The sequence below is a fragment of the Homo sapiens genome, chromosome 5 (genome assembly GCF_000001405.40).
Source record: "Homo sapiens chromosome 5, GRCh38.p14 Primary Assembly".
Classification (NCBI taxonomy): domain Eukaryota; kingdom Metazoa; phylum Chordata; class Mammalia; order Primates; family Hominidae; genus Homo; species Homo sapiens.
Genome location: NC_000005.10, coordinates 56,581,548 through 56,609,519, shown reverse-complemented (window position 1 = coordinate 56,609,519; position 27,972 = coordinate 56,581,548). Strand labels below are relative to the sequence as shown.

The 27,972-nt window shown below is 44.2% G+C and overlaps 1 long non-coding RNA gene across 1 annotated transcript in view, besides 3 other annotated features; it reads left to right on the top strand.

Moving 5' to 3' along the window:
• The first annotated feature begins 3,263 nt into the window (after positions 1–3,263).
• The window catches only part of C5orf67 (chromosome 5 putative open reading frame 67), a 94,975-nt gene continuing 70,266 nt past the window's right edge, over positions 3,264–27,972 (top strand). Inside the window, exon 1 of the long non-coding RNA NR_161255.1 lies at positions 3,264–3,498. This is a non-coding gene — a long non-coding RNA (chromosome 5 putative open reading frame 67). The remainder of the gene's footprint in view (positions 3,499–27,972) is intronic.
• Positions 6,278–9,174: an enhancer, noted in NCBI's record as "VISTA enhancer hs1638". NCBI's record gives its function as "enhancer in: midbrain (mesencephalon)[5/9] | forebrain[6/9]" and the evidence as "EXISTENCE:transgenic organism evidence [ECO:0001131][PMID:17130149]".
• Positions 20,251–20,510: an enhancer, noted in NCBI's record as "active region_22568". NCBI's record gives its function as "activates an Ori minimal core promoter by ATAC-STARR-seq in GM12878 lymphoblastoid cells {active_cell/tissue: GM12878}" and the evidence as "EXISTENCE:reporter gene assay evidence [ECO:0000049][PMID:35858748]".
• Positions 20,641–20,720: an enhancer, noted in NCBI's record as "active region_22567". NCBI's record gives its function as "activates an Ori minimal core promoter by ATAC-STARR-seq in GM12878 lymphoblastoid cells {active_cell/tissue: GM12878}" and the evidence as "EXISTENCE:reporter gene assay evidence [ECO:0000049][PMID:35858748]".

The following is a 27,972-nucleotide window of genomic DNA, read 5'->3' as shown; positions in this document are numbered from 1 at the left end:
AAGGACCACTCACGGATCAATAATGAGAATACATCATAAATCAAAGATTATAATTAATCTAATTCTGTATACTCAAGTTTTTTTAAAAAGCCTTCTTGGGGATCTCTTGGGGATCTTGGGGACACTAAAAGCGACAATCATAAACATTTATCAAGCATGACTATGTGCCAGGCATTGTGCTATGTGTTTTACAGACATCACTTCATTTATTCTTTTTAACAGCCTTAAGAGGTAGGTAGTAATAGTCTCTTTCCCATTTTATATATGGGGAAACTGAGTCTCAAAAAGGCTAAATAACTTGCCCAAATTCCCATGGCAGAGTGTGGAACCAAATTCATGTCTGGCTGACAGCCAACCTCGCCACTGCTTTCCACACATACATGTCTGAATATTTAATGGGTTGTGCTCCAAGTCAGGAAGAGATGGTATGTTGGCCTGGAAACAAGAAAGCCTTTGCAGTCAGTCACAGCTCAATTCAGAGATGGCTTCAGTACTATTAGCTGTATGATTAGGGGTGAATTCAAAGTGATAGAAACTTTAACAAATCAATCTTGACCACTGAGCCCAACTATAAACTGGAGGATGACAAGACTTACTTTTCAGTGTTGCTGTGAGAGGAGATTATGACTCTGCATCAGCAGGCACATTTGAGACCCTCAATAAATCATACGTATTATGGTTTCATTCCTGCTCTTATCCATAAAATGTCTTGTGAGCAGAGAAAAGGAGACAGGCTAGACTGGGATCTCAAACTCCAGTGATCTGGAACGTTTCCGCTTGGGGGATCAAGTGCCACTGATCTAGAACTTGTCTCTATTATGGTTAAGCTGTATGGTTGTTAAACCATGCTAGGCAGTGGAGTCACAGAGCAACCTTGGGTGAAGGGCTCAAGATCTATATATCTCCTTGAGTTGGACTTCTGAATACCACATTCTTCTCCCCACCAGAAAACACACACTTCTTCCCAGGGCCTTGGTGCTTCTGGCCAGCATGTGATTTGCATCTGGCAAAAATCTCCCTTCTGGCAGGAGAGCAGTTGTGTTTTGGCTGGGGCAGATATTATAATGCTGCAGAGTCACTCTGCAGGGGACAAAACGAGAGAAGCCCAGGGGTTTCCATCCCCCGCTCCCTGCCCCTGCAGAATTCTCAGCTGAGTGCAGTAATAGCATGACTGGGCACTTTAAGTCTGCCATTGTGCCATAACTTCCTCCTTGTCATTGCCCGTTAGCATCTCCTTTCTGAGAGGGTGGCAGGGGCAGGGCCACATATGAACTTGAATGGTGAGGTGGGGTGCAGTTGCTATTTCTTGCCAATACCCAAACTTCCAGCTGCATATTCAAGTCTCTGACTTGGAGCCGGGCAGCCAGAGAGGCAGGAGAGAAGGACCTGGGCAAGAAGAACAAAAAGGCCCCACTGCACGGCTCCATCCCCATCCTCTCTGTCTGCATCCCTCCAGTGTGGAGCTCAGGTGTGGGGTCCCCAGCACCTCCTCAGCAGGTAGCTTCCTGAAGCCCAGTACACTCTCACTCCCAGGCCTGCTTCCTCTCCACGCCTTTCCCGCTCCTCCCTGCATCTCAAATTGGTTCTTAGAACCCCTGCCACATCCAAGGAACTACTTGTGAAATACCTTTGTGATTACAGTTTATATGTTTAATTAGAAGCTGGGAATTAAGCTTCCAAACACCACAAAATGAAAGCTTGAGATTCTTCCAACAAACCCCAGCTTTCCACGAACATGGGCTGACTCATCCGTCTCCTGCTCTCCCCTGTCGCCCCAGCCCTGTCTTTCATGCTGAAGTCATTCACTTTCTTCACCTGGATTTGGAAAACTGCTGATGTCTCGTTTAGCTTCATTCCTAAGTTGTCTTTCAAAAGCAGGGACATGCAAAGTGGCTGCCTGTGGCAGAGGCAGCAGGAGAGGGGCACACTTGTTGAGTCTGAGAACTTCACAAAGACTGTTAATTAATTGCTCATTTCGACAAATGAGAACAGATTTCAAATGCATAGTTGAACGTGGAGCAGGAAGAACATCTTGCTCTTGTGACTTGGTTTTAAACGTTGCATCTAGAAGATGGGGTGATACTGAAAGATGTCACTTATTTCCTTTTGTGAATTGAGATAAAATGGTTCTAATTCTTTCACTGCTTTCTGGCTTTAGGGCCCTGCGAAAGAATGTTTATTCTTTTGCTCTTGGTGGGAATTGGATGTCTGTCGATTTAGCATATGTTTAAAATATTTTAGCTTTGGAAAACTGCCCTGATAGCCTTCTCCCTCTAGTCAAAATTAATCTCATCTTCCCGCAGCTCTCACAGCCAGTGATTCATGGCTCTAATACAGCCCTTCTCATATTCTTCTTTATTCTATAAAGACTTACTTTTCTATAAAGACTTTTATTTCTGTTTGTCTCTTACATCAAATTGAAAGTTCTGTGTGGAGAAGAACTCTGTCTTACACATCTTTGTGATTACCTGAGTCTAGTCTGGTACATTATATTTGGCAGCATTCAGTACGTATTACATTGAATCTGGAAGATCACACAGAGAGGGGGATTCTGAGGGGTGGCAACAACCACTTTTGTAGCAGACGCTGTTGGTGTCCAACCCATGTCCCCTTGGCCACCCCAGAGTTTGGCTGTAGTCACATGCTGTGTAGACAGACAACCTCCTGCTTCTCTCTGCCTGAGGGCATTCTTCAGCCATAGAAATGAGCTTGGAAGCGGCTGGGTATGGTGGCTCACACCTGTAATCCCAGCACTTTGGGAGGCCGAGGCAGGCGGATCACAAGGTCAGGAGTTCAAGACCAGCCTGGCCAATATAGTGAAACCCCATCTCTACTAAAAACACAACAAATTAGCTGGGTGTGGTGGCGGGCACCTGTTATCCCAGCTACTCAGGAGGCTGAGGCAGAAGAATCACTTGAACCCAGGAGGCAGAGGTTGCAGTGAGCCGAGATCGCACCATTGCACTCCAACGTGGGCAACAGTGCAAGACTCCATCTCAAAAAAAAAAAAAGACAAAAGGAAAAAAGAAAAAAGAAATGAGCTTGGAAGCACACAGGTTAGTCTGCAAGTGCCAGGGAATTATTGCCCAAGGAATGACCCTTGGCCAAAGAGGGAAAGTCCTGGCTGGATAAATAATCCAAAGTCCTTGCCCTCATTCCAAGGAATGTTCTGCAGTCTCCTAAGGGTTTCCTGCTAGAGGAAGCCCTGATTGCCCAAAGCTTCTTAACACATTCTTTATTAGCTTTCCTCTCTTCCCTGTTTCATATTCCCTGTGCTCCCCTGGGATCAACAGCCAAATGAACAACTTCACCTGAGCCCTTACCTCCAAGGAAGTGCCACAGGGGAACCCAAAGGCCCTTAATCATTAAAAAAAACTTTAGAGATGCTGGCTGAGCCATCAGTGAGAACATGGATGCATACACAGAACCTACATCTTGTCATCTCTGCTCTTCGAGGAATGGAGCTGGAGAGGCAGAGAAGCAATGAAGCCGAATTCTGTGAGTGGGACTTCTGCGCAGCGGGGGAGGGAATTTCTACTTCTGGCCAGGAAATAGAGCTGGTGCCTTGTAGAAAGGCTCGAGGTAATGCAGTCAAAGGGCAAGCTTAGAGCAGTATGTGAAGGAATCCACCAAGGATTAGAACCAGCCAAGGGTCAGACAAACCAAATGAGACCAGAAGAGGAAAGTGGTGTCTTGGCAGAAAGGGCTTCCAGACCCATAGTCACAGGAATCTTCAGGAGAGGGGTGAAGAAGAAGGCATGGATCGCCAGGCCCAGGAGAGTCTAAAGCTGGTTTGGTGGGGAAGAATTTGGCCACATCTGTGCAGGATCCTAGAGAGTGGGGCAGAGGAGCTGGGCATCTGCTGTCAATGAGGCCAATTAAGAACAGTCTCAGGCTTGGGTCTCAAGCCTCAGGGATCTAGAACTTATCTGGTTTTAGCTGCTCTATATTCATTTCTTAGGAAGAGAGAGAGAGAGAGTATGTGTGTGTGTGTCTGTGTCTGTGTATATGTGTGAAATTTCTCTCAACTGAAACACAGGGCAGAACACTAGATGAAACTAGTGCTGTACTTTTCTGCTTATCTGTCGACACAGTCTTAGTGCGCAAAGTCTTGGTCTTAGTGGCTGGGTGTGGCAGTTTCCCAGAGGTGGGGGGCAGTAATAAAGAGAGAGAAAGGGAGACCTGATAGAAGATGGAGACCAGATAGAAGGCATCTGCTACGTGCATAGGTGCCCCTTTCTGAACAAGCTGTTTTTTGGTTACGAGATCCATTCCTGAAATCGATTTTAAGATATTCTGTGTTGGGTGATGTCACAGAAGCACTACTGGTGCACGGATTTGAAAAATAGTGGCTCATCCCGCCTCAGGGTTTGACAGCTTGGTAACTTGCAGTGAGGTTTCTTTTAACAATGAAACCAAGTCCTTTGAAAGACAAAAAAAGAACAAAACATCCACTAATTTTTGCGTGCAGGAGTAAGACAACAGTATTGGGAGATCTCAGCTATAAATGTGCCAGCTCTGGGAACTTTGGTTAAGTCATTTCACCATTCGCCTGTTTCCTCACCTATAACCAAGGAGGCAGCCAAGCCATCCCTAGTATTTCCTGGAATTCTGAGATCCTAAGTCAGATTGTTGAGTCTGGAGAGGCTGGATTCAGTGATTGACTAGGAGGGGCCTGTTTGTGTGGCTGTGTTCTATATGGCAAAACTTTGGTTCAGCACTTTGGCCAAGTCGGCCTCCACAGAAATGAGGATGTAAGAGCCTTTCCAAAAATCATATTAATTGAAACTATGTGGAGTCTGACTTAACTTCCATCTATATGCCTCCTTTCCCTTCTTCTAAGTTGTTTTTTCCCTAGTATTCCCTCAAACAACCACCTTTGTTCAAGTCTAAATGAATGTCTTTGGTTTCAAGATAATTCTCCCTTTTCAAGCAATTTCTGAACACCCTGTCCTGCAGAGAGTGGCCCGGGGCGGGGGGAAGAGTGGAAGCTTGGCTTGAGGAAGGAGACTGAGGGGCCTGTGTAGGCGACATGTTTGACTTGATCTGCCCCAGCCCCCAGCTTTCTGCACTTTGGGAGTTTTGCTTAGTGCTGTCATAAATTTTAGTACTAAAATGGCCAGCAGAGACCAAGTAGTTCATGGCAGATCGTCTCACACATATAATTGGTCTTCTCTGTTGGCACAGCAGAGTGTGCAGACTTATTATAAGGAATGTTTGGTTATCCTGAACTCAGTCCCTGAAGGACAGGTGTATGTTTTACAGCTGCACGCAGGGAATTTTATTCATGGGCCAGCTTCCAACTGCCCTTAGCTTGGCTCTTGTACCATTTCTCCAGCTCAGCTCCCCACCCTTCCCCCCGCTAATTTTGGTATTGGCCTAAATGAACAAATAAGATCTTAAAAAAAAAACAAACCCTCATGGCTTCTAGAGATGTTTATTTTTGTTGTTGCTGTTGTTGTTGTGTGTAAGTGTGTGCGAGAAAGGTGGCACATATGTTTTATAGATTTGGAAAATGTAGATGAATGAATTTAAACTATTTGCCTAAAGGTCAAAAATTGGGAGCATGTTAACTAGAACTACACTCATCATTGCCTCCTTCAAAAAACAATGCTCCACAGTTGATGTGCGTCTGGAGCCTTTGTGCTGGGCCCTGCATGGTCTAGAATCTGACATTGAGTTCTTTTATGCAAACTTTATACCTTTGAAATTGTCTTCCAGTTATTCAATCAGACACTTTTTTTTTTTTTTTGTGACACCCAGGCTGAAATGCAGTGGCACGATCTTGGCTTACTGCAGCCTCCACCTCCCGGTTTCCAGTGATTTTCCTGCCTCAGCCTCCCGGGTGCTGGGATTAAAGGCACGTGACACTACACCAGGCTAATTTTTGTATTTTTAGTAGAGACGGGGTTTCACTATGTTGGGCAGGCTGGTCTCGAATTTCTGACCTCAGGTGATCCTCCCACCTCGGCCTCCCAAAGTGCTGGGATTACAGGCGTGAGCCACCGCGCCCAATCTCTTCAAACACTTTCTACAGGATACCTACTGTGACTTTTGCAGTCAAAGTGAAACTTGATCAACAATAAAAGCTACTAGCGAAAAATCTTGTGGTGATAGTGGGCAGGGAGAAGGGGTAGAGGAATCCCTTATGATTGTGGTCTATGGTAAATCATTGCAACATTTACCGTTACTACTGACATATTGACATTACATACGAAAACAAATGGACTAATTTGTGACCACTAAGATGTATGGTTTGACCCCCTGCTTTCAGAGTAGCCCCTTTGGTTCTGTTTTCTCTAATCTGACTGTGGAGTCTCAGACTAACTCCAATTTTTCAGCATTTATTGAGTACTTGCTATGCTCTTGGTGCTAGGGTCACACAAATGTTTTTTATAACACACCCCTACCTTTGAAGGAAAGCCAGTCTGCCTTTCTCATGTGCTGATTTTTAGGGGATTTAGAAGATGGCAGTTGCTGGGCAAGGTTATTGTTTATGTAGAAGGTATCATTGTTAGGAATCTAATCGCTCTTTTGCTGTGACTCATAATTATAAGATCATATTCGCACGATGCTCTGCCATTTAGAAAGAGATTTTGCATGTTCAATTTCATTTGGTCTTTACAACAATCTTTTGAGGTAGGTTACTGGAGTACCCTTATCCTCAGTTTGTAGAGAGAGAAACTGAGGCATGGAGAGGCTAGTGACCTGCCCAAAGTCAAAAGCTAGCAAGTGGAGAAGCCAAATCTCAAACTTCGATCCCATGACTCTTCTGATTCAGAAGTCTCATTATCATTCTGGCTCTTTTAGAAAAAAGGGAAGAGCCACACTGTGAACTCATCTGAGGGCAGAGACCTTGTCTTTGTTACCTCAGGATCCTCCCTGTTCCCATAACTTCTAGCATAATGTCTGGTATACATCAGGCTATAATACAGGTTTGTTGGTTGAAATCACATCAAATCTCTGTCAATGAGAGAGAAAAAAGAGATGGCCACCTTTCTCCCTTCATATTACCAGACATTAAAGATTATGATGATGACCTACTCTACTTTATTCTTGCTCACCACCCTGTATAGAATTGCACATAAATATTTGTTAGTGTGGAACATTTCATTTCCCAGCAGTCTAGAGCTTCGTTGGGTAGATAGGCTGAAAGGTGACACTACTGAATTTGCAGCATGCTTCACTCACATTATAGCCTATTTATCTTCAGTATCATGACAACTTTGAGGAGTTCATCGGAAAATTTGGATTCTGTGACTGCTCCAGAGACAGGCCTAGTGGACGATTTTAATAACCTCCCTGTGAATGTCATAAAGGCAGGCAGGAGGAGAGGGGTTATGAGCAGTCTTTTCATATCTACCACTATGGAAATAAGCCAGTTACTTGTCTCAGAGTTCAGGCTCCAGAAAATACTCCTCTTGTTTCTATCCTCTAGAATCATCCTCAGCAAAGGACAATTTATTTCAGGCTAAAATAAATGTTTATTCTAGTCTGAAACCACAGTTGCTCAACTCCAAGAAAGCTGCATAACCTCAAGCAGGTGACATTTGATGGTTTTCCCTTTTGTATCAGATGAATTTTAATTTTTCTCTGAGGTCAACAGGCACGATGCTGAAATACTTCAGTGGATGCTCATTGACCTGAGCTATCCAACTTGCATTCAGCAAGTACAAAATCTATTTCAGATGAGTCTCTGTTCCCATTCTGCCCTGTCAGCAGGGAAGAAAGGGAACAATTATTTGGTGATAATCACTCTGACGGCAGTAATCTCTGGCAGCTGCTAGAGAAGAGACATAATTGCCTCCTACACCCCTAACCTTTAGAATAGAGCTCTGAAAGCTTGATAAGAGGGGCTGAAGATGTGTGAACAGCCTCGAAATAACTTTCTGTCCGCTTCCATCACTCGGGCTTTAATTAAACACAATTCATACCTCTTCAGAAACTTGAGATGATGCATGTGAAGGAGCTTTATAAGGGCAGGGCCATACGAATGTCACACATTGTCATACATTGTTCAGTTCCTCTTAGCCAAGTCAGGGGTCTTTCAAGGCTGCTGCCCTCAAGCCTGCCTTTTCTTCCTGGGAGGAAGGGGGTGGCCTTGGAGAAGAATCATATTTTCTCCTGGAAATTTTGAAAGAGGATTTTGAAGTGGAAGATCTATGAGTAAATATGGAAGATAAAATTCAGATAAGTACTATGGATTGGCAGTCTTACGCCATGAAGCCCTTTCCCCATGTTAATGGACTCCTTGAAAACTAAGAAACCACATCAGGCCTTTTTCCACAAGGGCATTTTCTAGTCTTTTTGCAGCTGTCTGTGGAACTTAACCGTCCTCCTCACTACAGGATTTGGAAGTAGAAGGATGCTAATTCAGTTGAATGTTGTGATTTTTCTGGCTGGTCTCTGAAAGGCAGAGAAGAATGAGGGCAAAGAAGCATCATCAGAGGCAGGATCTTGGTGGCACAGTTGGACTGGTTCACTTTCACATTACACCCAAATAAGCCTATTTTTATATGTTTCATAGAGACTTTGGGTGCATTTTTAAAAATCTGATAAAAATGCTCTGGTATGGAAGTTTTTCTGTTCAGTTTAAACCATTTCATCAAATATTCTAATCATAAATTGTCACAGATGTTCCAAAATTCAAAGGTCCTTAAGAACACATGTGAACTTATTTAATGAAAGCCACAGATCAGCATCTGTTGTTAACCCCTCTCTACTTTTTCCCATCCCTATCTTAAGCCTGAAACTCTGTGCATCATACTGGTCACAATTCCCGGTAAGTTGTAAAACATCCCTCCCTCTCCTTGCCTCTTCCTTTGTCCTTGGCTCCACTTCACTGATGTTGTACAACCTGTTGTCATTACACCTTCCAGTGCCTCCCTGTTATGACCTGGCTGCTGGTTGAAAGTTTATGATCATGGCCAGAAAGACCAAGACCAACTTGCTACTTTATAGGCCTTGTGAGTCTGAAAGCACAATTCTGGGCTTCCTGTGGGAGTCATGCAGCTCCATGGGTACATTAGCACGTGAATTTTTTGCTCCTACCTCAAGAGTTCACCACCACATTGGGGCCATTAATTTAGGTGAGTAGGAGTGTGTCAGGGGGCCTTTGAACAAAGGTGCTGTTCTCCTACCCTGGTGAGTAATGTCACAAATGAGCACTGTCCCTTTAGAGTTGTTTCATGGATGTGACAGAATAAATCTGCCTTTCCTGACCACCCTCAGAGAATAACCTGGTGCAGTAACTGCTTTGGTTTCTAATGTTCTAAAACAGCCCTTCTCGAATCGTAATGAGCACACAGATCCCCTGCAGGCCTCGCTTAAGTGCAGATTCTGATTCCATAGATCTGGAGCAGGGCCTAGGACTCTGCATTTCTAACAAGCTCCCAACCTTTCTGGTCCATGGGCCACGTTTTGAGTAGCTCTGTGAGATGGAGCTCTGAGCAGGTGCTCTCTGCAGGGAAAGGCGGGCATCTGGAACAAATGTTAAATTCTTTGGTGGCCCATCCTCAGCCCTGGATATAAAAATGGTGCCCTCTTCAAATACTTTAGAAAACTGAGGACTGTTGCTGAATATTTAAAATCGTTTATTATTATTTGTGGAGTATTTATTTTAGAAAATGGCCTTATTGTACACTTTTAGTGGTCAATGCATTTCAGCAGGCCTAGCTTGTTTTATAGTTCTTTATTGCACATGGCAGATATTATGCTTTTTACAAATTGAAGGTTTGTGGCAAGTTTATCAGCACCATTTTTCTAACATATGCTTGCTTCGTGTCTCCGTGACATATTTTGGTAATTCTCACAATATCTCAAACTTTTCCATGATCATTATATCTGTTATCATGATCTGTGATCAGTGATCTTTGATGTTGCCATTGTAATTGTTTTGGGGCACTAGAAAACACACCCGAGTAAGATACTTAATTGACAATTGTTGTGTGTGTTCTGCTGCTCCACTGACCCACCGTTCCCATTCCTCCTCCTCCCCTCAGGTCTCCCTGTTCCCTGAGACTCAACAATATTGAGATTAGGCTAATTAAGAATCCTACAATGGCCTCTAAGTGTTCAAGTAAAAGGAAGAGTCACACATCTCTCACTTTAAATCAAAAGCTAGAAATGATTAAGCTTAGCGAGGAAGGCATATTGAAAGCTGAGATATGCTGAAAGTTAGGTCTCTTGCTCCAAACAGTTAGCCAAATTGTGAATTAAAAAAAAAAAGAAAAAAAAACTCTTGAAGGAAATTAGAAGTGCTACTCCAGTGAACACAAAAATGAGAAAAAAAAAAAAAAAAAGCAAAACAGCCTTATTGCTGATATGGAGAAAGTTTCAGTGGTCTGGATAGAAGATCAAACTAGCCACAACATTCCTTTAAGCCAAAGCCTAATCCAGAGCAAGGCCCTAACTCTCTGCAATTCACTGAAGGGTGAGAGAGGTGAGGAAGGTGCAGAAAAAAAAGTTTGAAGCTAGCAGAGGTTAGTTCATGAGGTTTAAAGAAAGAAGCCCTCTTTATAACATAGAAGTAGAAAGTGGGCTGAGTGCAGTGGCTCATGCCTCTAATCCCAGCACTTTGGGAGGCCGATGTGGGTGGATCACTTGAGGTCAGGAGTTCAAGACCAGCCTGGCCAACATGGTGAAACCCCATCCCTATTAAAAGTACGAAAAATAACTGGGGGTGGTGGCTCATGCCTATAACCCCAGCTACTTGGGAGGCTGAGGTAGGAGAATCGCTTGAACCCTGGAGGTGGAGATTGCAGTGAGCCGAGATTGTGCCATTGCCCTCCAGCCTGGGCAACAGAGAAAGACTCCATCTCAAAAAACAAACAAACAAACAAAAAGTACAAGTGAAGCAGCAAAGCTAGTGTAGAAGCTGCAGCAAGTTACCCAGAAGATCTGGCTAAGATCATTGATGAAGGTGGCTACACTAAACAACAGATTCTCAGTGTAGTTGAAACAACCTTCTATTGGAAGAAGATGCCATCTAGGACTTTCTTTTTTTCTGTTTTCTTTTTTTTTTTTTTTTTTTTTTTTGAGATGGAGTCTTGCTCTGTCACCCAGGCTGGAGTACAGTGGCGCTATCTCAGCTCACTGCAAGCTCCACCTCCCAGGTTCATGCCGTTCTCCTGCCTCAGCCTCCCTTGTAGCTGGGACTACAGGTGCCTGCCACCACGCCTGGCTAATTTTTTGTATTTTTAGTAGAGGCGGGGTTTCACCGTGTTAGCCAGGATGGTCTCGATCTCCTGACCTTGTGATCTGCCTGCCTCAGCCTCCCAAAGTGCTGGGATTACAGGCTTGAGCCACCATGCCCGGCCGCCATCTAGGACTTTCATAGCTAGAGAGGAGAAGTCAATTCTTGGCTTCAAAGCTTCAAAGGACAGACTGACTCTCTTGTTAGGAGCTAATGTAGCTGTTGACGTAAAGTTAAAGCCAAAACTTGTTTGCCATTCAAAAAAATCCTAGGTCCTTTAAGAATTATGCTAAATCTCCTCTGCCTATGCTCTCTAAGTGGAACAACAAAGCCTGGATGATAGCAAATCTCTTTACAGCATGGCGTCTTGAATATTTTGAGCCCATTATTAAGACCTATTAATCAGAAAAAAAGATTCCTTTCAAAATATTACTGTTCATTGACAATGCACCTGGTCACCCAAGAGCTCTGATGGAGAGGTACAAGGAGGTTAATGTTACTTTTATGCCTGCTAATAATATTCATTCTGTAACCCGTGGATCAAGGAGTAATTTTGACTTTCAAGTTTTATTATTTAATAAATGTATTTTGCAAGGCTATAGCTATCATAGATAGTGATTCCTTTGATGGATCTGGGCAAAGTACATTGAAGACCTTCAGAAAAGAATTCACCATTCTAGATGCCAGTGAAAACATTCGTGATTCACGGGAGGAGGTCAAAATATCAACATTAACAGGAGTTTGGAAAAAGCTGATTCCAACCCTCATAGATGACTTTGAGGAATTTAAGTCTTCAGTGGAGGAAGTAACTGCAAATGTCATGGAAATAGCAAGCGAACTAGAATTAGAGGTAGAGCCTGGAGATGTGACTGAATTGCTGTAATCTCATGATAGAACTTTAACAGATGAGCAAAGAAACTGGTTTCTTGAGATAGAATCTTCTCCTGGTGAAGATGCATTGAACACCGTTGAAATGATAACAAAGCATTTAGAGTACTCCATAAACTTAGTTGATAAAGCAGCAGCAGAGTTTGAGAGGATTGACTTCAGTTTTGATAGAAGTTCTACCGTGGGTAAAATGCTGTCAAACAACACTGCATGCTTCAGAGAAATATTTTGTGAGCCGGGCGTGGTGGCTCACACGTATAATCCCAGCACTCTGGGAGGCTGAGGTGGGTGGATCACCTGAGGTCAGGAGTTTGAGACCAGCCTGGCTGACATGGTGAAACCCTGTCTCTACTAAAAATACAAAAATTAGCTGGGTGTGGTGGTGATTGCCTGTAATCCCAGCTACTCAGGAGACTGAAACATGAGAATTGCTTGAACCTGGGAAGCGGAGGTTGCAGTGAGCCAAGATCATGCCACTGCACTCTAGCCTCGGTGACAGACCGAGATCCTGCCTCAAAGAAAAAAAAAATTAACGGAAATATTTTGTGAAAGGAAGAGTCAACTGCTGCAGTAAACTTCATTGTCCATGAAGAAATTGCCACAGCTACCCCAACCTTCAGCAACCACCACTCTGATCACTCAGGAGCCATCAACATCTAGGCAGGACTCTGCACGAGCAAAAAGATTATGACTTGCTGGAGGCTCCATATTGTTAGCACTTTTTTTTTTTTAGCAATAAAGTACTTTTAAATTAAGCTATGTGGATTACTTTTTAAAACATAATGCTGTTGCACACAATAGACTATGGTGTAGTGGAAACATAACAGTTACATGCAGTAGGAAACCAAACAATTAATGTGGCTTGCTTTATTGTGATGCTAACTTTATTGGGATAGTCTGGAACCAAGCCTGCCATCTCTGAGGCCTGGCTGTATACCACTTGCTGTTTATTCACACTGATCATCTTCATCTTCACCTTGCCAGTGTTGCTAATGTGCACACTCTCAGTCCACAGAACATTATCTCATCTGGAAAACACTCATAGCTGGGAGGATTAGCAACAATGCTCCCTTGGTACTAACAATGAGCCACAAGTCATTGGAGCAATCATCAATCAGTGGCTCGTGATCTTGTTCAGTCTCAGTTCACATGTCATTGGGAGTCTGGTTACTCAATGGTTATATCTCTGCCTCTTCCGTTTAAGGGAATGGTGACTTACCCATGATAGACGTGCTTTCCCTCCATGAAGATTCTTCCTCGGTATCCCTGCATGAGAGTTGGTTAGTAGAATCAACTTCTACCAGCTCCAAGTTTAAATAGAAGAAAACAGGTTCATTTATTTACCTTATTTCAATGGCTTAAGAGGAAAGTATACCACATTTTCCTTTTTCTTTATTTCTTCTCAGAGGCAGAAGGTATAAACCCCAGACTGTAGGTCTGTGGAGAAAGGACTCCCCCCAGCCCTGCCTCTCCCATTTACTTCCAAGCTCTCCTCCTTTGCCTCCTTCCCCAAGCCTGTCACAGATTAGGAGTGGTCCCACAGGGCTGTCAGGGAGGTGGAAAAAGAAATTTGCTAGCTCTCCAGGCTGCCTCTGGAGCTGTGGTCTGTGGTAATTGGGAGGGCAGAGGCTAGGTGACCACAGTGGTTGAAGAGTGAAGGAGGATCCAGGCTATTTCCACAGCCACAGGGCTTGGAGGGTGGTCGCCTCAGGATGGAAGCCTACAGGAAGGGAATTCCTGAGCTGACACTTGGGGAGTGGGCTGGGAATGGCAGGATGGGGGGAAGTATCTAATGTGGTTGAAGCTCTTGGCACCAGAAAGGCACTGAGCTGGTGCTTCCCACATCTCACCTGATGGAGTCCTCGTTACAACAGCTCTGTGAAGCCAATCCTCATGGCCCTGTTTTACAGGGAAGAACCCACAGCTAAGAGAGAAAAAGCAAAATGGTTGGCTCAACTGGACTGGTAAGAGGCAGAACCAGTATTTGAACCTGGGTTTGTTTGATTTGAAATCCCTTCACATCCAACTCTACGAAGCAGGTCATTATAGGAACCTTTTGTAACCTAAGGCAGGTGAACAGGGTGGCAGGCTGGCTGAGGTCCAGATACCAGCATTGCTTTGGGTTATAGTTTATGTTGTTTTAAAATCTACTGCATTTGGTAAATACACATGCTGGTGGTTGGGAGACTAGTTTTGCAGAAAATGAATGAAGTGCCCTTTTAGAATTCCATTTGTACTCTGTGCAGAATTGGATTTCTAAACGCTACCTGGCTGTGGCTTGTTATAACAGTACCTCCCAGGTGTTCCAGTGATAGTCCTGATGGCACATCCCTCAATGCTGGAGGCCAGAGGTTCCCCACGGGATGTTTCATAAAAGATCATAGAAGTCAGCTCAGCTTCTTTGTGGTCAAACCACAAAATGCTAAGGTTTCCTTAAACTCCCAGAATTCCAAAGGGTGTGGGCCCACCCTGAAAAAGAATGCTGAGCTCTGTAAAACCCTAAAGGGAGGAGCAAATTCTACTTATGGAAACTTGGGCATGAGTTGAACTCCTGACGTGTTCATTATGGGGAATTGGAGATTTTAGGTGTAGGAGTTATCTATGCCAGTATGGGTCAAACTTTACTGTGCATAGGAATAAACTTGCTAAAATGCAGATTCCGGTTTCCCAGGTCTGGGGTGGGACCTGAGATGCTACATTTCCCAAGCTCCTCGGTGATGGTAATGGTAATGCTTCTGGTCCACGGACTGCACTTTGAGTAGCAAGGGTCTACAGTATGGCACCTCTCCCCATTGTCTCTGTTCTCCTTCTCCAAGCTGAGCAGAGATTCATTTACTTGGGGATAGTTTTTTCAGGAGGAAGGGAACATGAGAATCTTCTGAATAAAGTATCTTAAGAAGCTTTATTGCAGCATGCTTTGGATGTAAAAAAGTGTTATAAAGACAACAACAAAAAATGTGGGGATGGTTTGTAGTCAAATACGCTTTGGAAGTGTTGGGTTTAAAAGTTAAATAGGCTTCTGTATTTCATGACTTTCCAGACCTTTAATTACCTAATGTGCATTGTAACTCTCACAGGGAAACTTCTCTTAAATTCATTTGACCAAAGAATAGTACTTTTTGAAGACCATCTTAAGAGCATAATGTTCACTGAGGCTGGCTGTTTCAGACATTGACATGGGTGGGCACATGAGAGAAGGAACTCTTCCCTAAAATATTGTGTAAATGTGAATTTGCTCCCATTCTAAATAGGTTAAGGGTAATTCTGAAATAAATTGAACTTTAGAAATAAGAGTTGAGCTGTGAAATGGACTGACTGTGGAGTTACATGCATGTAGAATCCTGGGCACATATGACTTTGGAGGAAGAAAACTGATACAAATGGATGAAAAAAGAGTAAAGAAAATGAAAATATTTGAACAGGGATATGGGGCAGGGAGGAGTCACCTAGAGCATGCTTGTATGTGGAGAGTGGTCAATTAAGGACTTAGTCAATGAGGCTAGCACGGGTAGAGTGAGGAAAGACTCGGGAAATAGGAGCCGAGTCCATTCCAGGGGATGGCAGGCAGTTGTCAGTGTTTTAGATGTCCAGTGACTGAACCCCTTTCCTTTTGGGGAGGAATTCCTGAGCTGATAAGGCAGAGGCTTCTCTCATAGAAAAGCTGAATGTGGCAGACCTGTGTTTCCTCAGCCTGCTTTGCAGCGAATTTATGGGCACGTTAACCTGGGTTCCACCAGTCAGAATTGCCTTTCCTAGACTTTTAAAATGCTTTTTATTTAATTTAATTAATTAATTAATTAATTTTGAGACGGAATTTCACTCTTGTTGCCCAGGCTGGAGTGCAATGGTGTGATCTTGGCTCACCGCAATCTCCACCTCCTGAATTCAAGCGATTCTCATGCCTCAGCCTCCCACGTAGCTGGGATTACAGGCATGCGCCACCACGCCCAGCTAATTTTTTGTATTTTTAGTAGAGACGGGGTTTCTCCCTGTTGGCCAGGATGATCTCAATCTCCCAACCTCAGGTGATCTGCCCACCTCGGCCTCCCAAAGTACTGGGATTACAGGCGTGAGCCACTGTGCATGGCCCCTTTCCTAGACTTTGAAGCAGCGCTAAAAGAGGCACTATGGACAGACCTCCATTCTGATGAGGGCAAGACAGCAGTGACTCTATGCTTAGTTCCCAGAGGCAACAAGGACTGTGGTTCCATAGCCAGCATCCAGCATCCAGGGCCAACCACACACAGTACTTGGAGCTGGCCTGTGCCTGGTGTCAACTGCAGCAGCATCTTTCGTGGCCCAGCTCTGTGGCCTGATGTGGGGTATTGTTCTTGAGGGAGAGCCCTTGCACCTGGTTCTGCATCATTCTAGAAACTCCGAGCAGCCTATTTACTTTTGAGGACTTCCTTTTCATCTTAGACGAAGGAGTTCGTTCCCATTTCTTGCAGCTTAGAACACTTACAGACACAGTGGATAATGAAACCTCCCAATTCAGCTTCAGAGAGCTCCAGAAAGCATTTTCAATCTTGAGTTAAAATTCTAGGGCAGACTTTGGGATTTATGAAGGAAGGTCTGAGTGGCCTGAGAGTCAAGCTTCCCTGAGAACCATGGTGAGCCTGTTCGGGTAATAAAAGAAGTAAAGCAATTAATATTACTGCATGAGCACTCACAAAATGCCAGCTAGATGTTCTTATCTATATGTTTCTCATAACAATCTTGTGAAATAAACATGATTATCCTCATTTTGTAATAGGGGAGGCTGAGATACAGGAATTGTAATCAATTGTCCAAATAGTAGGTGTTGGAGCTGGCATTCCAACTAAGGTCTGTCTGACTCCAATTACTGGTACATCAGGCTGCCTCCCAGTGGTTTGGTCCACATGTGGGGGCACCTTCCATGTGTCAGACATGAGGATAATCGTGGCCCATACATGCCTTTGTGGAAGTTAAGATCTGCTGCAGGAGATACAAACTAATATGTTGCTACAAACTGTGAAGGAGAGGAATAATGGGACAATATAGTAGAGAAACCTGCCCTAGATATGAGTGTCTGTGAAAGGAATTGGTTTCTCTGAAGGGGTGCTCTTTGAGCTGAGTTTTGAGGGCTAAGAGAAAACTACTTTGGATGGGAGACAGAAGAGCTTTCCTAGCAGGGAGAACTAAGTACAAAATCAGACATACCCCATGCTTGGTTTGTACCCTGAGAACTCCCCCAAGTACAGCAAGCTGGCCTTGTGATTTAAATGGTCTCTGCTCTATTAAAGACAGATACAGAAGAGTAATGAAAGGAAAAGGCTAAGAGTTCCAAAGTCACAGAAGATGGAGGATAAACCTAGTTCTTGGGTAAAATGTTTCTGGAGCCACCTGTCTGCCCAACGTCTTATCCTATCTTGGGAAACGAGCCCCCTCCTGATTTCTGAATAAAGAATGAGAAATCGGCCGGGTGTGGTGGCTCACACCTGTAATCCCAGCACTTTGGAAGGCCAAGGTGAGTGGATCACCTGAGGTCAGGAATTTGAGACCAGCCTGGCCAACATGGAGAAACCCCGTCTCTACTAAAAATACAAAAATTAGCCAGGTGTGATGGTGTGCTTCTGTAATCCCAGCTACTTGGAGGCTGAGGCAGGAGACTTGCTTGAACCCAGGAGGCAAAGAGTGCAGTGAGCTGAGATCCTGCCACTGCACTCCAGCCTGGGTGGCAGAGCAAGACTCTGTCAAAACAAACAAACAAACAAACGAGAAATTGGGCTGACGACAGCCTCACAACAGTGTCAGACTTTTTGCTGGCTGCTGCAGGCATGTGGTTACCAGTGAGGGAAGAGGGGCGCAGCACACATGGAAGCCTGTCATCTATTTTATATGGGCTTAAGAGAGACTCAGGTGCACCAGACTGCTGGGTTCTATTTCTCTGGACACTGCCCTTTTTCTTTCTTGGTCTCCTTGGAGATGCTCCTCATCAAGGTATGTGTAGCAGGATGATGTTGTAAATATTATTCCTATTTTTATATAGAAATTTTAGGGGTAAAAATCCAAATATAAGGTCCAAATGTATGGTTTGAAAAGCCAACATCGCCGATTTTTGTCGATTAAAATCCCATGTGACATTAAGGTCAAGCTTTAAAGTCACCGCCTCCAGGAAGTCTTCCTTGATTATCCCAAATAGAAGTGATGTCTCATCCTGTGGACTTCCTGGTACTCTACAGGGCACCATTCTTGGGGCATAGAGCATGTCTGCTTTGTATGGTTGTTATTTGGGTCTATGTCTTCTTATCTTCTCAGCTCTAGTGAAAGTTTAATGAGTAGAGGCGCTATGTACCATATGGCATTGTAATGATCAAAGTGTTTTGTACATAGGAAATGCTTTCGGAAAAAAATTGCTAACAGAATGGCAGCTGAAAATCAATTTCTTGGCCAGGTACAGTGGCTCAAGCCTGTAGTCTCAGCAATTTGGGAGGCTGAAGCAGGAGGATTGCTTGAGCCCAGGAGTTCGAGACCAGCCTGGGCAACATGATGAAACCCCATCTCTACAACAAATACAAAAATTAGCAAAATTAATTGAGCATGGTAGTATGCACTTACAGTCCCAGCTACTCAGGAGGCTGAAGTGGGAGGATTCCTGGAGCCTGGGAGGCAGAGGTTGCAGTGAGCTGAGATCACACCACTGAGCTTCACACCACTGCGCTTCAGCCTGGGCAACAGAGCAAGACAGTGTCTCAAAAAAAAAAAAAAAAAAAGAAAGACAATTAACTTTTAGTAAAAGCCTTCTTTTTTCATGATCATTTGAATGCCTACCATATTTATTTATATTTAGAATATTGTTGTTATATTTTATTATTGAGGAGCTAAAACAAGCATTGAAAAGACAGGGCTTGGTACCTGTTATGGAGTGAATTGTATCTTCCCCCTCCAAATTCATGTATCCTAATCTCTGATACCGCAGAATGTGACTGCATTTGAAGAGAGTCTTTAAAGAGGTAATTATTGTTAAATGGGGTCACTGGAATTATCCCGCTAGGATTACCAACGTGACTGGTGTCTTCATAAGAAGAGAGTAGGACATAGACATGTACAGAGGGAAGAGCATGTGGAGACCCAGGGAGGAGGCGATGGCCACCTACAAGCCAAGGAGAGAGGCCTCAGAAGTAGCCCACTCCTTGATCTTGGCCTTCTAGCCTCCAGAATCGTGAGACAATAAACTCCTGTTGCTAGCCTCCCAGACTGTGATACTGTGTTATGGCAGCCCTGGCAAACTAATAGAGTACCTATGATTTTGTTTATTGTGTGGGATAATCAAGGAACTGAGCCCTTTATTAAAGACTTTAAATATGCCTCTACAGTATAATGTGAGATAGGAAATCTGGATTCAAATCCTGGTCCTGCTACTTGCTCACTGTGCAATCTCAGACAAGTCACTTAACCTCACTGAACTTTGATTTTCTCAGTTGTACACATGTGGAAAATGCTATATTTAACTTGTGGGGTTGTGGAAATAACTAAAAAAACAGCATAGAGGTGCCCTCTTCCCTCACCCTCCTGTGGTGGATACTCACAGAATGGAGGGAAGGACCCTGGTGTCCTGTTTCCCAGCTGAGCACATGGAATTCTCTGGTTGCAACTTGAACAGCAACCTGAGAGATGAAACGTGAGCTAGCCCAGCACCCCACAGTTTGAGGCAGGGCGATATGGGTGCTTGCTTCCGAGCGAGGGCATCTCTGGTCCTGGATGTCCATTTGTGAGTTTACAGGCAGGGCAATTTGCCCATTCCCCAGTCATTTTCACAGCAGCTGGTGTCATAAATTACCACAATCACAAGTCCTCTCAAAGCGGGGCATTCCTGACATGGAATGAAGACCTACAGCCCCAGAGCATCTGATGAGATTGGATTTGTCAATAAGGGCAGTAGCCAGGCCCACGGGTGTTTGAGTACAAACTCTGGGGTCAGCAGCTGGGGCCACACCTTGGGAAGCTGCCCACTTTACTTAGGTTGTTTGCAGTAAAGTAGCTTCCGCAGTGGTTCTGAGGAGGAGGCTCCCGGCGCTCTCCCTAGGCGACATTCTGCTCCATGCCTGGATCTGGGCGTCCCACCCTCTCCCTGGGGTGCTGACAGTCAGAAACCCAGGCGTGTCAGGAAGAGCTCAGAGTTGGGCAAGCTCTGAGAACCATTTCAGCTCAGTGAAAGAGGCCGGTTAAGTTTTTGGTTTCAGAGGAGATACTTTCAGGGGGGTGAGAGGAAAGGGAAGAGGCCAAGATGCAAGGTCTGGCTGCCATTGGTCAGGGTCAGCCTGGGCTGTGGTGTTAAGGGGGTTTCAGCAGCCACTGTTGTTTCTGTTGCTCTGGCAACCAGAGGAGAAATACACAACGCCCAGTGCAGGTGCACAAGTGTTGAGTGCAGGCCCATTTCCTCCAATCGGCCCCAGCCAGCCCAGAGGCAGCGACCTAGGGGCTCCTCCCAGGATGGCTAGCTGAAAGTTTTGGTGTGTGGAGGCTGAAATGTGGAAACTAAATTTGAAGGGCGTTGACTACAGGGGCTGTGGGCAGCACCTGGTGGCACCCTCCCTCTCACGCAGGAAAGCCGGGCCTGGGGCTTGGATGGGTCAACTGGATCTCCTGCCTGTCCCTAGTTGGTTTTCCTGCTTCCGGTGGCTGCAGCCCCAGCAGCTACATCCTGGATCCTATTGAGGAAGCTTGGTGCTAGGTCAGACCCGTGACTTGCAGCTCCACCCTGGAGCTCTGGTGCGAAGCTGTGGCTGCCTGGGAGGGTGTGAGGGTTCCCTTATTCTGGTGCCTCCCTTTGCTGAGCTTGCAGCGACCCCCGACCCCCAAGCCACTCTGCTAGGCTCTCCCTCTGTAAAGGTCTCTGATTAACAGCCCTGGGGACTGGTAGACACAGGTTCAGATCTCCGTCCCTGACTGATTGAACTTCTTTGAGATTCTGGTTTCCTTACCCATGAAGTGGAAGTAGTCAAACCCATCTCAAAGATTTGTGAGGAAGAAGTTTCTGTGAAAATACCTAAGGCAGCACCTGACACATAGTAGGTGCTAAATAAATGGGGTCTTTGCCTCTTGCGTAAGAGCCAGAATTCAAGAGGCCTTGATTTCTGATGCATTTGCACTCTCTAAGCTGACAGCTGGGCCTATTCCCTTGCCAGGAGTTTCAGGACCAAGGCCATCCCGCAAGCCCAGTCCATCAGCACTTCCTGAAGCTCTCTCTTCTCAGTATATCCAGAAACTCTCCACTCCCACCTCTCTCACTGCTACCTTATCCCAGCTCCATCACCTCTTACCTGGATTACTGCAGCTGCCTCCAAACTAGGCTCCCTGCTTCTGTCCCTGACTGCTCAAACTCTTCCTACTCAGCAGGCATCCTGCTATGCCAGTAGTCATCAGATGGTGCCTCTCCTCTGTTCAGAGCTTGCCAGAGTCTGCCTTTCTCATTCTGGGCCCCGCTTCTATTACCTCATTTCCCACCGCTTCCCTTTACTCTTTCTACTCCTGGCCTCTTTGCTGCTTCTTCAAAGTAAGAAGCATGCTCCCAAACAGGACATTTGCACGTGCTTTTTCCTCTCCCTGGGTGTCCACTCTGATGTCCTTATGGCTCATGCTCGCTTCCTTCAGCTTTCCACTCAGCCTTCCCCTTCTGAGCAAGGGCCTCCCTGACCACCCATCTAAAACATCACCCTCAATCCCCATCACTTCCTACCTCCCTGCTTGCTTTTTCTTCATATCCCCTATCATAACCTGAAATATACATTTATGTGTTTATTTTTGTCTTACTCTACCAAATGTAGGATTACCAACATTTCCTATCAAAGTGCAGGAAATGCGGTTTCTTCCTGTTGAGTCTTCACTGCCTAGCCAGTCTTCACCTGGCTCTTTCTTCCTGTTGAGTCTTCACTGCCTAGAACAGTGCTTGGCATACAGTAAACACTAAATGAATTTAAGTTGAATAAATGAATGAATGGATGGGATAGGGGAAAGAATATATATACATGTATCTACATATATTTAAATCTACATTAAGTGAAAGTGTTCATATATTTAGTTATACACATATATTTCTCTAGGGATATCTCCTTCGAAGAGAACATATGGAGATATATATATATATATAGATACACACACACACACACAAACACATATATCCTGAGTTGCTTCTGTCAGTACAGTACAGTCACTACTGTATTTGGGTGGCCTGTCCTAGCCCTTCTCTCAGATGATGATAACATTCTTGGGGCATTGGCTTGGGTGTAGGAGTTGGTTGGTGTGGGATCTGTGTAGACTCTTTGTGAGAGACCTGTGGAGAGCTGCATTTGTGTTTGTTGATGGTGGGTGACTGAGGTAGGCTTGTTGGGGGGAGGAATAAGGACATCGAGGCTATTGGAGGAGGCAGGAAGATGGAAGGGAAGTCATTGAAATAATCTTATGGCCATGGGTTTGAAATTAGTATCTGTCCATAGAGAGGTAAATCAGAGGCATCCAACGGGGAGGAGAATATCTCCAATCAGGAGGTGCTCACACAGTTTAGCGGCTTCCTGTCAGGTGCTCCCGGTGACACTCTGGGTCTTTTCTCCTCTCCCCCATAATTTTCTTTAAAACACAGTGTAAAGATAAGGGTAAGAATCACTTCAAGTAATGTGAGAAAACTGTAAGGAAAGAGGAAAAATGAAAATGCTGCCAATGGCAGGAAACGGCACATTTTAATCTTCTCAAACTAAATGGACTCCGCGTTGCATCTGGAATTGTGTGTGCTTGATAAACCTAATGTGGAAGCCCTTTGCTAAACATCTGACAAGAATCAGCCTCTCCATGAAATGTGAAAAGATGCCCCCACCCAGTTGTTAAGAGGCTGCATAAGAGAACAGAAAAAGTTTGCGCAGCTAACACAACACGGGGCTTGCCAAAATCATCCTGCCCTAATTCTCTTGTCAGCAGAGCCACTTTTCTGAAGAGCTAGCGACTCGTGACTTGGTTGCTGGATTCTGCCTGCCCTTCCTGCTGTGTATCCCCCACCCCACCCAGGACCCCTGAGCAGAGCACACCCTTTCTCTGTATTTTCACTTGTTGGGTATTCTTCAGGGCTTGAAGCCTCAGAAATTCCGTTGAGAACACAATGCTCTACGTTCAGGATGTGAACGGCTACAAATGTCGTATTGCTTATCTCGCTCTGTGCAACACCCAGCAGCTGCTGGCCTTTAACGAGGAGGCGGCACAGGGCTCAGGGAATCATCCTGTGTGTGCTTTGTTCTTGCATTTTGCAGCTGATTTAAGAGCAAGAAAGGAACAAACCCCATCTGATGTCTTTACTCCAGAGATCATCTCACATCCTTCCTAGGGCAGGAAGAGCAGGTGACTGGGACACCGGACATTTGGCAAGCTGGTGGCTTTCCTGCGTTGGCATGCTTTGCCGGGGTTTTCATGAAAAGACAATGACCTTTACAAAAAACAATGACCTTTGCAGAGATCTCGAAACCCTGGCAACTCAGCAGCAAACTCAGTTCCAAAAGCGTTCCTATTGCCTTTCCCAGCAGAGTTGAATAATTGGAAAGTAAAGAAGGACTTTTTAAAAATCACCAAAGTTTTTGGCAAATTTTAGGAGCTCTTTCCCCCACCCTGTAATTAAAGCAGAAGTAAACAGTAAAAGAATATCAAATTGCAGCTCGCTTCAGGAATAGATGCCCAAATAGAGCTGCTGCTTGTCCTAACCTGTGCTTTGAGACAGAAGGACAACCTCTCTGGGGAGCACTCCAATAGGTCCCCAGATCTGACACATCAAGATTAAGACATGAAGATTTGGAGCTGAGAGAGGAGAAAGGGTGAGTCATCTGGGCATTATCCAAAGAAAGAAAAAATGTCTTCCTCTTTCAAAGTTGCCTTCTCTGCACCATCCCTGAGCCCCTTCTGGTTGTTGGAGGTCATCTCCTGCATGGTACTACCTCACCTTGAAGGGGTTCTTAGGTCCAAGGCGATCAAAGCAGTCCTGCTCCCTGCTACACAGTGTGTGTGAATACTGTGTCAGACTGACTTGGTCTGTGTCTCATCCACTCATCAGCTGGTAACCCCAGACAAATTGCTGACCTTCTCTAACCTTCAGTTTTCTCAAGTCTACAAAGAGGGAACAATAGTATTTACCTTATAGGGCGGACATGGGACTTAAATGAAACAGTGTAAAGTTCTTGAGGCATAAGAACCACTCAAGCATTGATGTTACATGTATCAATAGTTAATTTCTTTTTACTGTTGTCCCATTGTATGTACATATCACGATTTGTTTATTCATTCACCTGTTGATGGATGTATGGATTGCTATTGCAAATAAAGCTGCTACTGTTTGTGTACAAGTCTGGTATAGATACATTTTCCCTTTTTTCTTTTTCTTTCTTTCTTTTTTTTTTTTTTTTTTTTTTTTTGAGGCAGAGTCTGGCTCTGTCGCCCAGGCTGGAGTGCAGTGGCACAATCTTGGCTCAATGTGACCTCTGCCTCCCAGGTTCAAGTGATTCTCCTGCCTCAGCCTCCCTAGTAGCTGGGATTACAGGTGCATGCCATCACATCCAGCTAATTTTTGTATTTTTAGTAGAGATGGGGTTTCTCCATGTTGGTCAGGTTGGTCTCGAACTCCTGACCTCATGATCCATCTGCCTTGGCCTCCCAAAGTGCTGGGATTACAGGCGTGAGCCACTGCACCTGGCCATTTTCCCTTTTTTCTTGGGTAAGTACTTAGGGATAGAATGGCTAGCTCAGATGGTAGCTGTATGTGTAACTTTTAAGGAAACTGTCAAACAATTTTCCAAAGTAGTCACATCATCTGGTGTTTCCATCAGTGGCTTATAAGAGTTCCAGTTCCTCCACATCCTTATCAGCACTTGGTGTGGTCAGTCTTTCTAATTTTATCCATTCACATATGCGAGTAGTGGTAGGTGATTCACATTTACTTTGGCTTGTAGTGAAGATATTTAGGTGAACATTCTGTGCAACTATATCATTCATTCATTGCACAGTGCACAGGCCTCAAAGCTCAAATATTATCTGAAGACAACCTGTTGTGAACTTAAATCTTTGATGGACAGTTGGATGCATCTGACTCTGAAGATTGAGTGAATTTCAAGTAGGAGCAGCCTAATGATTCAGGGCCATAGACTGTTACAGGTAGTTAGGCATGAGCAGGGCAGGACAGGGTTCTCCCCCAACCCACTAGAAATGTTGGGTGATGGTTTGGCAATTATTGCATTGCCTCTCTAAAAATATGTATTTGGCAGCTCCAGGGAGAGGCCATTTCCTGATGGTCCACACCTGTTAACCTCAAAATGTTAATTGAATGCAGGCCCCAGGGAGAAGCAACTTCCTGGGCATGCGTGTTAAGAGACAAAAATGGTGAAGTATGATCTTCTGGGGGCACACTCCACCGGAAAAGGGAAGAAAGCCTTAGATGGGCATGTGTATAACTCCCTAAATACATTGTGCATTCTCAACTCCAACGGGTAAGGAAAGCACTGGGCATGTGGAAAGCCCACCCTAAAGGAAAAATCTTGGGAAAGAGGCAAGCCTATAAAGTCCTAGGATCAAGGTTAAAGGCCCCTCTTTTTTGCTGTCTTCTTTTGCTCTCTTTTCTTTCTTGGACCTTCAAGCACCCGCTTGGGTCTCCTACAAGCGAATTTTCCTCTCTTTCCTGTTCTAAAGCCTTTTAAATAAACTTCTACTCCTGCCCCGAAACTTGCCTTGGTCTCTTCTTCTGCTATATGCCCCTCAGTCAAATTCTTTCTTCAGAGGAGGCAAGAACTGAAGTTGCTGTGGACCCCTTATGGATTCACTGCCGGTAACTTGGGTCTCTTCCACTGGTAACAAGACCACTTAATTTTCTTCTCATTACTTCTACTAAAGCCAAATAATTGCTGTGATTTTATTAATTCACCTACAAAGCCAATAATGAACCCTGGTTCATATCACCTTTAGCTCCTGTTACTAATAATAACAAACATCATAAGATTGGCAACGCTATTAGTTTTGCCCTGTGTTTATAATAATGAGGTTAGGGAAGGTATTCTTCACTACTTTTGGGGACTCAAAAGAGAGAATCCATAGGAGAAATTTAACTCTGGCTTTAGTTCTAGAAGTAGCTTTGTTTGTCCTGAGCAAATGGTTTGTTTTTCCTGATGAACAGTGGAAATCGTGCTGTTTCTTTCTTCACGCTGGTAACCAGAGACTTAGAGCCAAATTTGCCTTCTACTCCATAGCAAGTTTATCTGACTTTATGCTATGTATTTAGTAAACTAACCTATGCCTGGCTCCACGTTACTTTCCTATTTTAATTTTCTATTTGCTTTACTTTCCATACTAGTTAAAATATTTTGAATTTAAATGAATTTTTAAAACTATGTGTTTATGATCAGAATCCAAAAGGCATAATTTAAGGTATCTCTCACTCTTGCTCCAAAACCATCTGTTCCCCTTTCCCAGGGGAAACTGCTTTTATCAGTTTGTACTGTGTCTTTGCAGAGAATCTAGGTGACTAAAAGTATCCATGAGAATAGAAGTATAGTATATGTATGGGTGTGTGTAGTACATATTTGTAAGCAGTCTATTGAACAAGTTGAAGTTGGTAGGGTATAAATAGAAAGCAACTTTATTCCTGCTCATTGTTGACTCTTGAAATTCACTCTGTTGTTTCCTTGCCTGCCTATGGATGAATTCTGTGGCAGATACCTTGGCTTTTCTAGTTACTTTCAGATATAAGTAGGTAGTCTAACTTACCCTTAAAAAGTCTAGACTGCTGGTGAGGATATGGAGAAAAGGAACACTTGCACATTGTTGGTGGGAGTGTAAATTAGTTCAACCATTGGGGAAAGCAGTACGGCAATTCCTCAAAGAGCTAAAAGCACGACTACGATTTGACCCAGCAATCCTATACTGGGTATATACCCAGAGGAATGGAAATCATTCTACCATAAAGACATATGCATGCAAATGTTCACTGCAGCACTTTTCATAGTAGCAAAGACATGGAATCAACCTAAATGCCCATCAGTGACAGACTGGATAAAGAAAATGTGGTACATATAAACTGTGAAATACTATGCAGCCATACAAAAGACAGAAATCAGGCTAGGCACAGTGGGTCATGCCTGTAATCCCAACACTTTGGGAGACTGTGACGTGTGGATCACTTGAGGTCAGGAGTTCGAGACCAGCCTGACCAACATGGTGAAACACCGTCTCTACTAAAAATACAAAAATTAGCTGGGCGTGGTGACGGGCGCCTTTCTTGGGGGTTGGTGGAAGGTGAGTAGAGGGGAAAATTGGGCAGGAAATGAGGACTCTACTGAAAAGATTAGGCCATGTTATGCGATTTATCAAAATATTTTTCCATTGGGAAAATGGGACAAGTACTGTCTGACTGAGTTCTTGCAGAAATTTCTGAAAATACTCAGAGATTTAATGTTCTGCTTGAAAGGAACTACAGAAAAGCAACACACTCTTTTAACTCATTGTTTAGCATGAGTAGACTTTAAATTGCTCTAGAATGAGTTTTGTACTTTGACGGTTTTTTGGTGCACATATCATACACAAACAAAGCCAAAATGAAAAAGTACAGAATCTGAAAAACTATATCATTTGGGTTTCTCCAGACTAAACAAAACATTTCCAGTATGGCTAGATAAAAAGATTTTTCTAACCCTCCCTGTCCCTCACCCCACCTTCCTATGGGAGGACCAAATTTGCAGCACAGTTCAAGAATGTTGAATTAAGAGCCTTGAATGGTTTCTATTCATGGTAAATCTCTTGGCTTTGGGCAGAGGGCAAGAACTCAACCATACCACTGGACAGGTTTGTTGGAATTCAGTCAGTGAGTGTTTCCTCTAGATTACAATTCTTTCCACAAAAATATTTTTCTAGGC